The 16,278-nt window shown below is 37.6% G+C and overlaps 1 protein-coding gene across 11 annotated transcripts in view; it reads right to left on the reverse strand.

Annotated features, from left to right (window-relative positions):
* Nucleotides 1–16,278, reverse strand: part of SOS2 (SOS Ras/Rho guanine nucleotide exchange factor 2) — a 114,753-nt gene that overhangs the window by 45,169 nt on the left and 53,306 nt on the right. For 8 of the 11 annotated variants that reach the window (XM_047431723.1, NM_006939.4, XM_047431716.1 and 5 more), the window contains one exon: nt 12,156–12,254. The exons of the other annotated variants lie outside the window; for them this stretch is intronic. In XM_047431723.1, coding sequence (XP_047287679.1) covers nt 12,156–12,254 — 99 coding nt within the window. The remainder of the gene's footprint in view (nt 1–12,155; nt 12,255–16,278) is intronic. 11 annotated transcript variants of the gene reach the window in all.

Genomic DNA, 16,278 nt, shown 5'->3' on the forward strand with positions numbered 1-16,278 from the left:
CTAATTTTTTTATTTTTATTTTTTGTAGAGATAGGGTCTCACTAGGCTGGTCCCAAACTCCTGGACTCAAGCTATCCTCCCATCTCTGCCTCCCAAAGTGTTGAAATTACAAGTGTGAGCCACTGTGCCAGGCCACATTTTCCAAACATATTTAAAAAGTTTAAAACACCTAAAGCATGAAGCTTACAACTTACTTTTATTCATTAGCAACTATGAATAGAGAAAATAAGTAACTATAAACTATTTCATATTCTCTAATGATTACTTTGTTTTAGCAATTTCAAGTTTACAAATCTTTGTTATATAACATAATCAAGGGTACTAACTTTTAACACTTCAATCTATCATAAACTTTTCCGTAAACAGCATCTCTCAAAGGATTCCACTGCTATTTTTTACAATATGAAATGTCAAGAAACCATGAAAATTAATTCTATCTCAATCTTTAGAAGATTTAGAAACTGACTTATTAATCTCTAAAACTCTGGTTCTATTTCATTTGCCCCAAAATGTTCTCTTGTATTTCACTCTCAGAAAGAAAGCAAATTTACTTATAATAAATAATTCAGATTGTATTGTATTGTGCTCCAATGTTTTGATTTTTTTTTTTTTTTTTGAGACAGGGTCTCACTCTGTCACCCAAACTGGAATACGGTGAGGTGATCATGGCTCACTGCAGCCTTGCCTCAACCTCCTGGACTCAAGTGATCCTTCCATCTCAGCCTCCCAAGTAGCTAGAACTACAGATGTGTGCCACCATGCTTGGCTAATTTTTTTTTTTAATTTTTCTGTAGAGATGGGGTCTCACTATGCTGCCCAGGCTGCCCTCAAACTGTTTTAATCTTTTGAAAGAAGAGTTCAAAGTGGAACATCATATAGATATTATATATATTATGTATTTATAAATATATATTTATGCAAGGATATGGGGAATTATGATCACTTCAGAAAATTTTTAAAAACTTAAATCTATTTTGTGATCTTTAACTTATTAGAGATTTTGTGATAAATTAAAATTTTCCTTATATTCCAAGAGCAATCTCAAAAGCATTCAGCAATGGTTCCCTTTCCTCAGCAAAGAACTAACTGGCTATTGTTTGACAACTTTGTCCATTACCTTTTATTTATGTCTTAGAAATTAGTCTCTATATGAAGCACAGAGCCATTTGATTTTATTTCAAGACACATGTAGAGGTCTTGTCATCAAGAGATTAGCAACATAAATAATGTAAATGACTATTATTAGAAGTAATACCTTAATCTCTAGACTAAGCAATAGAAAGGATGGAAGCAAAGTCAAAATATCATAGAAAGTTTGAAAAAAGATCTGTGCTTGGTTATTCTGACTTCTACAGGTGAAAGTTACTGGCAAAATCACTTATTTTGCTGCTTTAAAGATTTCTTACAGAAAGTCTTCTCAGCTCCACTCTAAAATATTTCTTTAATAAATATGAATGTTGATGACATCAAACACTTAATTAGAACTGTTTTATTCTTGTTTTTGTTTATCCAAATATCTAAATTATCACCAGTAGTGATATCCTACCAAAAAGGTATGATTTTCATTGTCTACTTGGTCTTAAGGCTGCTCAAACTCTTCCACGTGTCATTTTTAAATAACCATGTAATAATTATAAGCTGTAAAGGAGAACAAAATTGAGGATATTTAGAGTGGGATTTCCTGGTAATGGAAGTATATTAAACAACGGCTCTGTTTGGCATAATAATCTGATAATTTGCTAAATATTTCTTGAATTTTCAGCAGTGAGATTTGATAAACATCATATTAATGAATATCCAACTAATATTCTACAGATACTTAAAAGAATGTGTTCCAAACATCTTACACAGAAATTACTGGGCCAGGCAAGGTGGCTCACACTTGTAATCCCAACATACTGGGAGGCCAAGGCGGGCAGATCACTTGAGCCCAGGAGTTCAAGACCAGCCTGACCACACGGAGAAACCTTGTCTCTACAAAAAATACAAAAATTAGCCGGGCGTGGTGATGTGCACATGTAGTCCCAGCTATTTGGGAGGCTGAGGTGAGAGGATGACCTAAGCATGGGAGGTAGAGAATACAGTGAGCTGAGATTGTGCCATTACACTCCAGTCTGGGTGACAGAGTGAGACTCTGTCCCCCGCAAAAAAATGAAAATAAAAATAAAAAATACAAAAAAAAATTAGCTGGACGTGGTGGTGCATGCCTGTAATCCCAGCTACTCAGGAGGCTGAGGCATGAGAATCACTTGAACCTAGGAGGTGGAGATTGCAGTAAGCCAAGATAGCACCACTGCACTCCAGCCTGGGTGATAAGGCGAGATTCTGTCTCCAAAAAAAAAAAAGAAAGAAAAAGAAAAGAAAAATTACTGTACTGAACTATGTGCAAACAAGTAATGTACTTTCATGCCCCCATTCGCTTTCTACACAACAGTCTCTGACCTCCTTATCCACCCGGTGAATTTAGCCACTAGGATACAGTTGAAATGCTTCCTCTTGAAGATGCCTTCTGATTATGCCTTTTCCCTCTTAAATTTTTTCTTTTGAAATATCAAATTTATAGAAAAGTTGTAAAAGTAACACAAATAACTCCTGTAATACTCTGAATCACCAATTTTTAACATTTTGTCACATGCTTCATCATTCTGTGTGCCAGTGTGTGCAGATCGTTTTTTTAGTAGTTGTGATACTATCCACTCAGTTCCTTCCAGAGGAAGGGGGACTACGGCTGAATGGTTTTGCAGTAGTTTTTGGAATATAAGGAAAAGTCAAATGTATCACAAATTACTCTCAAATAGTATCATTCTCCTTTACTCCTTTAATATTTCTCATAGCTCATCTTACAACAAGGATTTTCTTTTACAGAATCACAGTATAGTGATCAACTTCAGGAAATTTAACACCGAGTAATCTACTGCATAATCTAATCTATAGTGTATATTCCAATTTTGCCAACTGTTTTAATAACATCCTTTAAGGTAATATTTTCCCCCAAAACAGGAACTGGTCAGTGAAGCACTAAATTGTCATGTTTCTATTGTCTCTTTTATTCTGGAGAGTTCCTAAGCATTTGTCTTTCATGACTCCCGCAAATAAATAAGGACACACACACCCGCGCACACACTGTTCTCTCTCTCAGTAGGACGAATACCCAAAACCATTATGTATTTTTTTTTACTCCACTGAACAAAGGAAAAATCAATAGGAATTTTTTTCTGCCTTCCCTAAGCAGAGCTAGTAACTCCTGCTTCATTGATCTCATAGTACTACCTCTATTAGGCTCTTATAATATTGTAATTATTTGTTTGACATCTATTTTCTTCACTAAATTGTAAACATCTTAATGCCTAGGGACACGTTTTATTCCTTTTCAGTTTACCTGCATGTGGTAGGTATCCACTAGGTGGTTGTCAGAAGTAACTGGAATAAATGACTACTGTATGATTTTGTTAAGTATTTAGACCAATAATGAATGTTTTTTGAGCTCTGCTCTGTGCACGCTCTTTTATGCATTAGCTTATTTAATTTTTATTACAACTCTGTAACACGAGGTACTATAATCATATGTTACAGATGAAGGAAATGAGGCACAGAGAAATTAAGTAATTTGCCCAATATAAATAGGAGAGTTTATATCCAAACCCAGGAGCTCTGACCCCAAAGTCTCTGCTTTTTTGCTACACTAATACCCCGTGGCTCTACCATGACACCAGACACAGCTACGCAAAACACTGGTCTGTGTCTAAATCTGATGACCACTGAGTTGAAAGGGATTCTTTCTATGTTGAAAACAAACTGGATAACTACTGAGTTTAAGAAATAAAATGAAATGAGTGTACTCTGGAAAAGAGGTCAAAGAGAAAAGATACCCTTGCTACATATGCTTAAAATTAAAAATAAAAGTGATTGTTTATTAATGGGTAATATCTTTTCTTTTTCTTTGAGATAAAGTCTCACTTTGTCAACTAGGCTGGAATGCAGTGGCACGATCTCGGCTCACTGCATCCTCGATGTCCCGGGTTCAAGCGATCCTCCTGCCTTAACCCCCCAACCCCTGAGTAGCTTGGACTACAGGCATTGCCACCACATCCAGCTAATTTTTGAATTTTTTGTAGAGATGGGGTTTGGCCATGTTGCCCAGGCTGGTCTCAAATTCCTGAGCTCCAGCAATCCACCTTCCTTGGCCTCCTAAAGTGCTAGGATTACAAGCATGACCCACCGCGCCTAGCTTTAATGGGTAATATCTTATGAACCTAGCTGAAGAATATATTCCTTGCTACCTGATACTCATCATTATCCTTAGTTGTCTATAAGTGTATCCTGTCTAAGATTTTATATTTCATGTAAGTTTTTTCTTAACTCTGTATGAGAATTCACTGAAATATTTACCCTGCTTTTCTTGAAACTCCTACCAAATGCTACATCTACTATGGACATATGTGCCCACAGCAAGGGGAATTTCAATAAATTATGAATTTGTCTCTAATTCACTGTACTAGGAGTTCAGTCTAGGTGTGAAATAAAACATGTAATCAATTCTTTTTTATTAGTAATAAACTCTCTAGATTTTCATAAGAGTGGAGTTGGTAATTTGGTGGGAAATTAAATCCATTAAAACCTATGACTAGGCTGGGCACACGGGCTCATGCCTGTAATCTCTCCACTTTGGAAGGTCAAGGCAGGAGGATCACTTGAGGCCAGAAGTTTGAGATCAGCTTGGGCAACATAGCGAGACTCCCTCTCTAAAAAGAAATAACCTAAAAACCCCAAAACAAACAAAAAACCCGTGATCATATTTCTTTACGTGCTTTTTTAAAAAAAACACTAACTTTAAAAAAAAACACATAAGAAAGTTAACTGTTATTAACTTTCTTTCATATGTACCTGAATCATATGTCAGTACTGAAAAAGTAAATATGTAGTAAAATCCTCTTTATGGTCTTTTTTAAGAGTTGAGAGATTTCTTTCAATAGAGATTGCAAGCTCTTTATGTTATGAATATACTCACACACACACAAAAAGAATGACAAAGCAAGCCTGGGCAACATGACAAAACCCCTTCTCTACAAAAAATAAAAAAACAAAAATTAGCTGGGTATGGTGGCATGCTCTTGTAGTTCTAGCTACTCGGGAAGCTGAGATGGGAGGATTGATTGAGCCTGGGAAGTCAAGGCTGCAGTAAGCCATGAATGGGCCACTGCACTCCAGCCTGGGCGACAAGAGTGAGACTCTGTCTAAAAAAAACAGGAATGATAACAAGCAAATGTTGCATAATGTTAACAACTGGTAGCCAGGCGCAATGACTCACACCTGTAATCCCAGCACTTTGGGAGGCTGAGGCAGGAGGATCACCTGAAATCAGGAGTTTGAGACCAGCCTGGCCAACATGATGAAACCCAGTCTCTATCAAACAATACAAAAATTAGAATGGCGTGGTGGTGTGCACCTGTAATCCCAGCTACTTGGGAGGCTGATGTGGGAGAATTGCTTGAACCCAGGAGGTGGGGGTTGTAGTGAGCCGAGATCACCACTGCACTCCAGCCTGGGCGATACAGTGAGACTCTGTCTCAAAAAAAAAAAAGAAAAAAAAAGTGAGTCCAGGTGAAGGGTGCTCACCACTATTTCTGTAACTTTTTTCTGTTTTTCAAAGTAAAAGGTAAAAAAATATTACCTATAAACTCAATTGTTTCATATTGAAATACTGGTTGATCTTCCTCAATGAACCTCATTGAAGTTATTACTAAGTTTTCCTGTTAAGCTTTAAACTAAATTAATTCCTCTTGAGAGAGAATAATTTTTATTCTTTCCATTACTAAATTTCCAAGGAATGACCAGGGAGTTAGGAGAGTAAGAGAACATTACTTGCCTTTGAATAAACCAGTTCTAAAATGAGAGAGTTAACATGTCCTTAGTAAAAAAGGACAGACATAGATTATTTTCTGAGATAAGGTCTTGCTCTCTTGCCCAGGCTGGAGTGCCGTGGTGTGATCTCAGTTTATTACAGCCTCTAATTCCTGGGCTCAAGTGATCCTCTCATCTCAGTCTCACAAGTAGCTGTGACTACTGGCATGCATTACCACGCTCAGCTAATTTTAAAAATTTTTGTAGAGATGAGGTCTCACTATATTGCCCAGGCTGGTCTCAAACTCCTGGGTTCACGCCATCCTTTCACCTCAGCCTCCCAAAGTGCTGGGATTACAGACATGAGCCACTGTGCCTCGCCTATATACCTTCTTAGAGAAATGTCTAAATCCTTTGCTCATTTTTTTAGTCAGCTTGTTTTTTGTTGTTGAGTTGTAGGAGTTCTTTATGTATTCTGGATAAGAATCTTTTATCAGATATATAATTTACAAATATTTTCCCATTCTATAGAATGCCGTTTCGTGATACTGTTTTGGCTCAGTACTCATCCAAAATAAATTCTGTCTCATGTTAAGCCTACTTTGGGATGAGAATCATAAGAAAGAAGGCTGGACTAGTGTGACTCAAAGGTTATTACATCCCTTTAGTAGTAGAAAACACAATCCTGGAACAGTTTTAACCCACTGTTTTAAAGTATCTGCTTTGGTGATCTACCAAGAGAGATTTATTCTTGGATTTAGTGTTTAAATATTATTTTTTATTTTCCAAAATCAGATTTATGATAAAACAAGATGGAAAAACAACTATATGACAAGAAATTAGAGGATACCATATATAGTTACCTAAAATTATTTCAAAGTACATTGTTAGGCCTGGTGCAGTGGCTCACGCCTGTAATCCCAGCAGTTTGGGAGGCCAAGGCAGGCGGATCATTTGAGGTCAGGAGTTTGAGACTAGCCTGACCAACATGGTGAAACCCCGTCTCTACTAAAAATATTAAAAAAAATTAGCCAGGCATGGTAGCACGCATCTGTAATCTCAGCTACTCAGGAGGCTGAAGCAAGAGAATCGTTTAAACCTGGGAGGTGGAGGTTGCAGTAAGCCGAGCCTGCACCATTGCACTCCAGCCTGGGCGACAGAGTGGGACTCCATCTCAAAAAAAATAAAAATAAAAATAAAAAACAAACAAACAGGCCAGGCACAGTGGCTCACACCTGCAATCCCAGCACTTTGGGAGGCCGAAGGCAGGTGGATCACTTGAGGTCAGGAGTTTGAGACCAGCCTGGCCAACATGGTGAAACCCCATCTCTACTAAAAAAAAATAGAAAAATCAGCTGGGTGTGGTGGCGGTCACCTGTAATCTCAGCTACTTGGGAGGCTGAGGCAGGAGAATCACTTGAACCTGGGAGGCAGAGGTTGCAGTGAGCCAAGATTGCACCACTGCACTCCAGCCTGGGTGACAGAGTGAGACCGTGCCTCAAAAAACAAACAAAGTACATTGTTGGTTTATTGTTACTCATGGCAATATATATTGTTATATACATTGTTGGAATAATGTTATATTATTGTTGCCATGCAACAATTTATATTGCATGGCAATATATATTGTTACATATATATAGTTAACTCATGGCAGATATATAGAATATATATCTATAATATATTCACTTTATAGATAATACTTTTTTGTTCTTTTCAAATTTAAGCCCCATAAGGTTGATCACAAACTACTGTTTTCATTTTTCTTCTCAGATAAATTTTGTTTATTTATTAATTTACTTTTAAGACAGAGTTTCACTCTGTCATCTAGGCTGGAGTGTACTGACGTAAACATGGCTCACTGCAGCCTTGACCTCCTGGACTCAAGCAATCCTCCTGCCTCAGCCTCCCTAGTAGCCGGGACCACAGGCATGCACCACTATGTCCAGCTAATCTGATTTTTTTTTTTTTTTTGTAGAGACAAGGTCTCACTTTGTTGCCCAGGCTGGTCTTGAACTCCTGGGCTCAAGTGACCTTCTCACCTTGGCCTCCCAAAGCGCTGAGATTATAAGCATGAGGCACCTTACCCCACTTTCTAAGATAAATTTTAGATAAATTTCTACAAACTGCTTTTTAAACATAATTTTAGATTATTATCTTAACATATAATTCAATCTTCATGCAAGAAGGAAAAGAAAAAAAATCACTTCTTGATTTATAAGTAACTTTATAACATAATTCTTATATCCAAAGAAAAAAAATATAGCCAGGTATGGTGGCTCATGCCTGTAATCCCAGGACTTTGGAAAACTGAGGCAGGCAGATTGCTTGAGCCTAGGAGTTCAAGACCAGCCTAGGCAACATGGTGAGACTCTATCTCTACAAAAAATTTAAAAATTAGCTGGGCATGGTAGCACACATCCGTAGTCCTAGCTACGTGGGAGGGTCGCCTGAGCCCAGGAGGTCAAGGCTGCAGTAAGCCATGATTGTATCACTGCATTCCAGCCTGGGTAACAGAGCAAGACCCTGTCCCAAAAACAACACAATAAAATAGATGATATACAAATAGTTAACAAGTATATAAAAGATACTCAACATTACTAGTCATTAGGAAAATTAAAATCAAAACCACAATGAGATACCACCTCGTATCCATTAGGATGACTATTATTAAAAAAAAAAAAAAAAACAGGCCAGGCAGGGTGGCTCACGCCTATAATCCCAGCACTTTGGGAGGATGAGGCAGGTGGATCGCTTGAGGTCAGGAATTCGAGACCAGCCTGGCCAACATAGTGAAACCCTGTCTCTACTAAAAATACAAAAAATTAGCTGGGTGTGGTGACAGGCGCCTGTAATCCCAGCTACTCGGGAAGCTGAGGCAGGAGAATCGCTTGAACCTGGGAGGCGGAGGTTGCAGTGAGCCAAGATCGTGCCATTGCACTCCAGCCAGGGCAACAAGAGTGAAACTCCATCTCAAAAAAAAAAAAGAAAAAGAAAAAGAAATTAACACGGTTTGGTAAAGATGTGGAGAAATCAGAACCCTGTGCACTGTTGGTAGGAATGTACAATGGTGCCATTACTATGAAAAACAGTGTGGTAGTTACTCAAAAAATTAAAGATAACATTACCATACGATCCATCCATTCCACTCCTGGGTATATACATAAAATAATTCAAAGCAAGGTCTCAAAGACATATTTGTACACTCACATTCACAGAAGCATTATTTATAGTAACCAAAAGGTAGAAAAAAATCCAACAGTCAGCCAGGCGCGGTGGCTCACCCCTGTAATCCCAGCATCTCGGGAGGCCAAGATGGACAGATCATGAGGTCAAGAGATTGAGTCCATCCTGGCCAACATGGTGAAACCCTGTCTATACTAAAAATACAAAAATTAGCTGGGCATGGTGACATGCACCTGTAGTCCCAGCTACTCAGGAGGCTGAGGCAGAAGAACTGCTTGAACCCAGGGGGCAGAGGTGGCAGTGAGCCGAGATCATGCCACCGCACTCCAGCCAGGCGACAGAGCAAAATTCCATCTCAAAAAAAAAAAAAAAAAAAAAAAAAAATTCAACGGTCTATCAACAGATGAATGGATAAATAAAATATGGTATAACACACCAATGAAATATTATCATCTCTCAAAGTTTATTTGTAAGCGTCATTGATGTTGTGTATTGTTCTAGTGTAAGTTTCTTTCATTATCTGAATGAACCACAATTTATTTACCCTTTTCTGGTTGGCAAACAGGATTTGCTATTACTGACACCTGCTACAGACTTTCTTGTACATTTCTCTTGGTATACATGTGCCTGCATTTTGTTTCTTTAGAGTATATATTCAAGGGTGGAATTGCCTAGTCAGACAGTATACATATTTTTTAATTTAAAAGGTAATGCCAAGCAGTTTTCCAAAGTGGGTTATACAGTTTACATTCCTAACAGAATGCAAATAGTTCATGCTGCTGTTTATGGATATTTTCAGACTTTCAAATTTCTGTAATCTGATGTGTATGTAGTGGTATCCTGTGGTTTTAACTGCATTTCCTTGACTATTAATGGTTTGAATACACATTTACTGCCATTTTGGATATCCTGTTTTGTGAAGTGATTCAAATCTTTTGCCATTTCTAATCTCTTCTAAGGCTTGTCTTTCCATTCCACATTTCTATTTGTTCTTGTTGTTGCTGTGCATTAATTAAAACTGAGTATATTCCATATTTATTCTAACGGTTACAGTTTCATTGATCAGACATGGGTAGTTTCTCTTTATTCATTCCTTTTTTTTTTTTTTCTGAGATGGAGTCTCGCTCTGTTGTCCAAGCTGTCTCCTGCCTCAGCCTCCTGAGTAGCTGGGATTACAGGCATGTGCCACCACCCCTAGCTAATTTTTGTATTTTTAGTAGAGACTAAAAACATGATTTTGCCATGTTGGCCAGACTGGTCTCAAACTCCTAGCCTCAAGTCATTCCCTCCCCCTTGGACTCCTAAAGTGCTGGGATTACAGGCATGAGCCACCGCACCTGGCTCTCTTTATTCATTCTTTGAAGCCCAAAATTACTACTACCTAGTAATAAAGAGTATCTGCTGCCTTTGGACAAGCATGAGTACTCATCAGTGAGTGTTTCTTTTCCCATTTCTAATTCCTTACACAATTTCCCTTGATCTTTTAAAGGCAGGAGTGATTACCAAAGTGAGCACGTGAAAGATGGAGATTTTCTGGTGACAATCCATTCATTTCTCTCTATTACTGCTACTGATTTTCACTGACTCTAGCTAACATCTAAGAACTTCTGTCTACTTTCAGATTATGGCCCATTTTCAACTGTAATTCCCACATATCTTGCTCAGTAAAATGTTCTTTCTCAATTTTTTTTTCTTTAACAGGGTCTTGCTATGTTGCTCAGGCTGGCCTTGAACTCCTGACCTCATGTGATCCTCCTATCTCAGCCTCCCAAGTAGGTGGGACTATAGGCTTGTGGCCACCATGCCCAGCTTCCAACTTTTTAACTGCTCTTTAGAAGCAAAGTATCTTTCTGCTTGATTATTTCGTACCTCTCCTTTAGGATACCACATCGTTGGTTTAGATAGACAGTTACGACTTTTTCCGTCTAATCCATGGTAGTAACATTAAAATAAAAGCCATAATAATTCTATGTATACCTTGTAGGCATCTAGGCAAGGAATATATATGATTATTTCTAATGAATACTTATCTCTTTTTTAAGTTCTTTTTTATGGAGTGCTACTACCCACAGCATTTGATGCTGGAGGTAGCCAGCTTTTTTTTTTATTTTTTTGAGACGGAGTCTCGCTCTGTCGCCCAGGCTGGAGTGCAGTGGCACAATCTCTGCTCACTGCAAGCTCCGTCTCCCGGGTTCACACCATTCTCCTGCCTCAGCCTCCCAAGTAGCTGGGACTACAGGCGCCTGCCATCATGCCCGGCTAATTTTTTGTACATTTAGTAGAGACGGGGTTTCACCATGTTAGCCAGGATGGTCTCAATCTCCTGACCTCATGATCCACCCGCCTCGGCCTCCCAAAGTGCTGGGATTACAGGCGTGAACCACCGCGCCCGGCAGTAGTCAGCTTTTATCCACAAATAGATGAGCAACTTCATTGTGTAAGTCTCCATGGATACTAGTGGATCCATAAAGAACTCATCAAAAGATATGCTGGCTTCATATGAATAATATATAAGCATATATTTGGATGCCTTAATTTTTAAAAATAAGGTTCATGTCTTATTAGAGGTCCTATCATTAGTCTTAGAGTTGCCCTCTAATATTGGCCAACATTTAAAAATGCTGGTTTGACCATATAATTTAAAAAAAATTTTCCCCTACCTAGATGATTGCTTTTTAAAAATCCTTGCTACTAGGTCTGCATTTAAGATCAGGTCATTGACTATAATGGCCTGACTCATCCTAAGCCACAGCTACTTTTGCCACCAATTAATCACTAGCCTCCAAACCCTCTTAGCCAATGTGACCAGGACTAGTGGTTGGCTAGTTAATTAAAATAGAGAAGAGAGTCATTTTTTTTAAGTTATATATATATTTTTAATGTGTTGCTTGGGTCCCAGCTAAGAGAGGAAGAATACAACACTGCACAGAAAAAAATATTAACTTCAAAAGTTATTTCCTTTATAAGATAACAAGATAGAAATTTAGAGCAATGTTACATATAAAAATTATTAAATACTTACATAAAATAAGAATTAAAAGACTGGTACTGTGTGTCTCCAAAATTAATTTTAAAAAGTAAACTCTTCTATTAGATAAGTACTTTGAGATTCTGTTATAAAACCTTACCTTTAGTAACTCAAAGTAGTGCCAACAGTGATACACTGGCACCAGCATAAGACGTGGAAGGACATAACGAACTGCCTCTTTAAAACCATCAGCAATGGACTGCAAAGCAAAAAGATATCACAGTATGTATGTCTCTGACATCAAGGATATGCAACAGCAGTGCCTAACAGAAACGTCTACTAAAAATTTGAGATACAGACTTATCAAAACTACAACAGAATGCATATTCTATATTGAAACTGAAGTGCTATCAAGTTGTTCTTTTCTCCCTTTCCTCCTTTAAGTTATTAGAGAAATATATACATTAATTTTCTTTTATGTGGCTAAAATAGCTTTCACAATAATCCTCTACAGCTTATGTTCTGGCTTCCATATACCCTAAAGGAATTCTGAAAAGCTATGTACTCTCCTGCACAATTTTAAAATGTTTTAAATTTAAATAGTTACAAAAGATGCATTTCAGGGAATGCTGTATACTGTAAATGTGATTTATAACTATTTCACTAAACAATAATTGAATAACTTTCAGATTTAGCTCATTTATGAAAAACGTCTGTCATACAACTTAATTGACAAAGTCGATCTTCACTGTCAAAATAAACAGCAACATCAGCTCAGTTTGTCAGAAGTCAAACTTTATTGTTAAATTCAAACAAACATTATTAATGTCATGGTCTCAAGGATTAGAAGCCTCTGGAGGAAACTACAACTGCTTCTGACATATTACATCAAGGTATGAGAACTTTACAAGCTTCTCCTCTTCTTTATCCCAAATGATGATGAAGTACTTACAATAAGGTTAACATAAATCTTTGTGATAACCATATCACTTCTTAATTCTTAGACAGATAGATATGACATAACATAGATAGATGACATTTTGGCTACCAAGAATTTTTACTATCATCCCCCTATAACATTCTTTTGTGAACTCTTTTGCTTGGTACTCAGTGAACTCTCCAATAGGAGTAATACTTTTTTTTTTTTTTTTTTTTTTCCTGTTTGGTGCCCTAGAGGTTTTTACATCTTGGATCAATGCATAATGGGAAATACATAACAGCAAAAGGTAACAAGTAAGAGACTTTGGAAAAGACAATGCAAAAAACATAAACAAGATCTCCGAAGACTAGAAACAGATTCCCTTAAAGCTCTCTGTGCCTTTATATATCCTGAAAAATCTTAGTGTATAGCTTGGGATAGGTATACCCCAGTTTTGGAAACTACTGTAGAATAAATGGTTTTCTAAAATTTATAATGGATTTAACTCATGTTAATTTTAAATGTCTATATAGTTCACTTACTAGTATTTCTCCCCATAAGAAAAACACCAACCACACCAATATAAAATGTGAGAAAGAATCTGATATGCTGCTTTAAAAAAATCTTCATAAATATTACCATAATTTTCACATTTTGTTAAATTATAATCTTTTCAACAGACTTATTATCCAGTAACCAAACTTCTTACTAGGATACACAAAAAGTGCCACCAATTTTCCTAAAGATTAATTCATTTTCACATTTGTTATGATCTGAATGTTTGTGTTCCCTCAAAAGTCATATATTGAAACCTAATCCCCAATGCAACAGTATTAAGAGATGGGGCCTTTAGGAGGTGATTGGATATGAGGGCAGAGCCCCTGTGAACGGGGTTAGTGCCCTTATAAAAGGGGCCTAAGGGAGCTTGTTTGTGCTATCCATCATGTGAGGACACAACAAGAAAGCACCATCTATGAACCAGAAGAGCAAACCCTCACTAGGGCACCAAACTAGACACCAAATCTGTTAGCCTCTTGATATGGGACTTCCTAAATGTGAACTGTGAGAAATAAATTTCTATTGTTTATAAGCCATCCAGTTTATGATATTTTATTAGAGCAGCCTGAATAGACTAAGACAGTATTAAACTAATTAATATAGTGAATTATTCTGGATATTTTATATACAGTGCTTGAACTGGAACCAATATGAAACTTCAAAATTAGTCTACAAGATCAACTGTTTTGCTTATTTGTACTAAAATGCCTGATAAAGTGCATTCTAAAATTTTTGTAGCATGTATTTACAGTGTAAGGAGTCCTCTGATAATAACAGGAGCTACATTTGAGTATTTAATACACATCAAACATTATGCTTATGCTTTATATATACATTACCATTTAATTTCCTAATAACTATAAGAGGTATATATTATGATGATCACCATTTTACAAATGAGCAAACTGAGTCTCAGAGATTAAGTGAATTGCTCAAGGTAACACAACCATTAACTGGGGCTGGGCGTGATGGCTCACGCCTGTAATCCCAGCACTTTGGGAGGCTGAGTCAGGAGGATTACCTGAAGTCAAGAGTTTGAGAACAGCCTGGCCAACATGGGGAAACCCCATCTCTACTAAAAATACAAAAATTAGCCAGGTGTGGTGGCATGCGCCTGTAGTCCCAGCTACTTAGGAGGCTGAGGCAGGAGGACTCCTTAAACCCAAGAGGCAGAGGTTGCAGTGAGCCAAGATCGCGCCACTGCACTCCAGCCTGGGTGAAAGAGCGAGATTCCGCCGCAAACAAACAAACAAAACTATTAATTGGCCCAAAGCCTTAAGTTCTAACTTCAAATCTTATTTTTTTAAGTCTGCTACACAGTCCAGGTATGGTGCCTCATGGTCAACAGAACAGCCTAGCCAATATGGTGAAACTCTGTCTCTACCAAAAAAATACCAAAATTAGCCAGGCGTGGTGGTCCACACTTGTAGTCTCAGTCACTCAAGAGGCTAAGGCAGGAGAATCGCTTTAACCCGGGAGGCGGAGGTTGCAATGAACTGAGACTGTGCCACTGCACTCCAGCCTGGGCAACAGAGTGAGACCCTGTCTCTAAATAAATAAATAAATAAAGTACGCTACACAGCTTCTAAAGATGCTTTTTGTTTTTAGTTTTATTAAGGAAGCATTATTTTATCTTAAACTGAATGAATTTTTTTTTAAGTTAAAACAATTGAGTTTGGCCCGAAAAAGGATTTCATCTAACTCTTCCAATTTCACTGAATATCTAGGATGACAGCTTTATTAATAACTGGGCCCTTTAACATTCAAATTCCACAGCAAAAATTCCTAATAAAATAGGACTGAAACAAGAAATGTGTTGAGTGCTTTTAATGAGTATCCAAAGTTCTTATAGACTGTGTATTTAATGCATACTTTATATGAATATATGAGTTAACTTTAAAAATATTCCTCTCTTGAAGTAATTTTGAGAATTAAGTATAATTTGTATTCCATGATAACAAATTTTTGACAATAGAGAAGTGGAAGATAATAAACAATGGGAATTTATAGTACAGAAGGCAGGGAGAAGATGGTAAGTTCAGTTTTAAACATGTCATATTTGAAGTGCGTTTAGGGTATCCAAGTGCATCAATTCAAGGCAGCTGGTTATATGAAAGTGTATAGATACATACACATATGTACACGGTACACAGTGCTTAAAAGAAAGTGATGGCCTGGAAATACAAATAAGAAGTCACCAGTATATAGACATGAAGTCACCCAAGGAGAGCACAGAACAGAAAAACAGGGGCTGATAACAGAAGTTGGATAATAGCTATAATAATTAAGAGACTTAGAAGAAGAAATCAGAGAAGACGAAAATTGGGAACATGTAGTATCACAGGAGCTGATATGGTTTGATTTTGTGTCCCCGTCCAAATCTCATGTTCAACTGTAATCCCCAATTTTGGAGGTGGGGCCTAGTGGGAGGTAACTGGATCATGGGGGTGGATTTCTTCCTTTAATGCTGTTCTTGTAATAGAGTTCTCAGGAGATCTAGTTGTTTAAAAGTGTGTGGCACCTCCCTGCTCCTTCCTCTTGCTTTGACCATGTGAAGACGTGCCTGCTTCCCTTTTGGCTTCCGCCATGATCGTAAGTTTCCTGAGGCCTCCCCAGCCGTGCTTCCTGTAGAGCCTGTGGAACTCTGAGCCAATTAAATCTCTTTTCTTTATAAATCACCCAGTCTCAGTCTTCTTTTTCTTTTTTTTGTTGAGACAGAGTCTCACTCTGTAGCCCAGGCTTGAGTGCAGTGTTGCAATCTCGGCTCACTGCAACCCCCACCTCCTGGGTTCAAGTGATCCTCCTG

Source organism: Homo sapiens, chromosome 14, assembly GCF_000001405.40.
Source record: "Homo sapiens chromosome 14, GRCh38.p14 Primary Assembly".
NCBI lineage: Eukaryota > Metazoa > Chordata > Mammalia > Primates > Hominidae > Homo > Homo sapiens.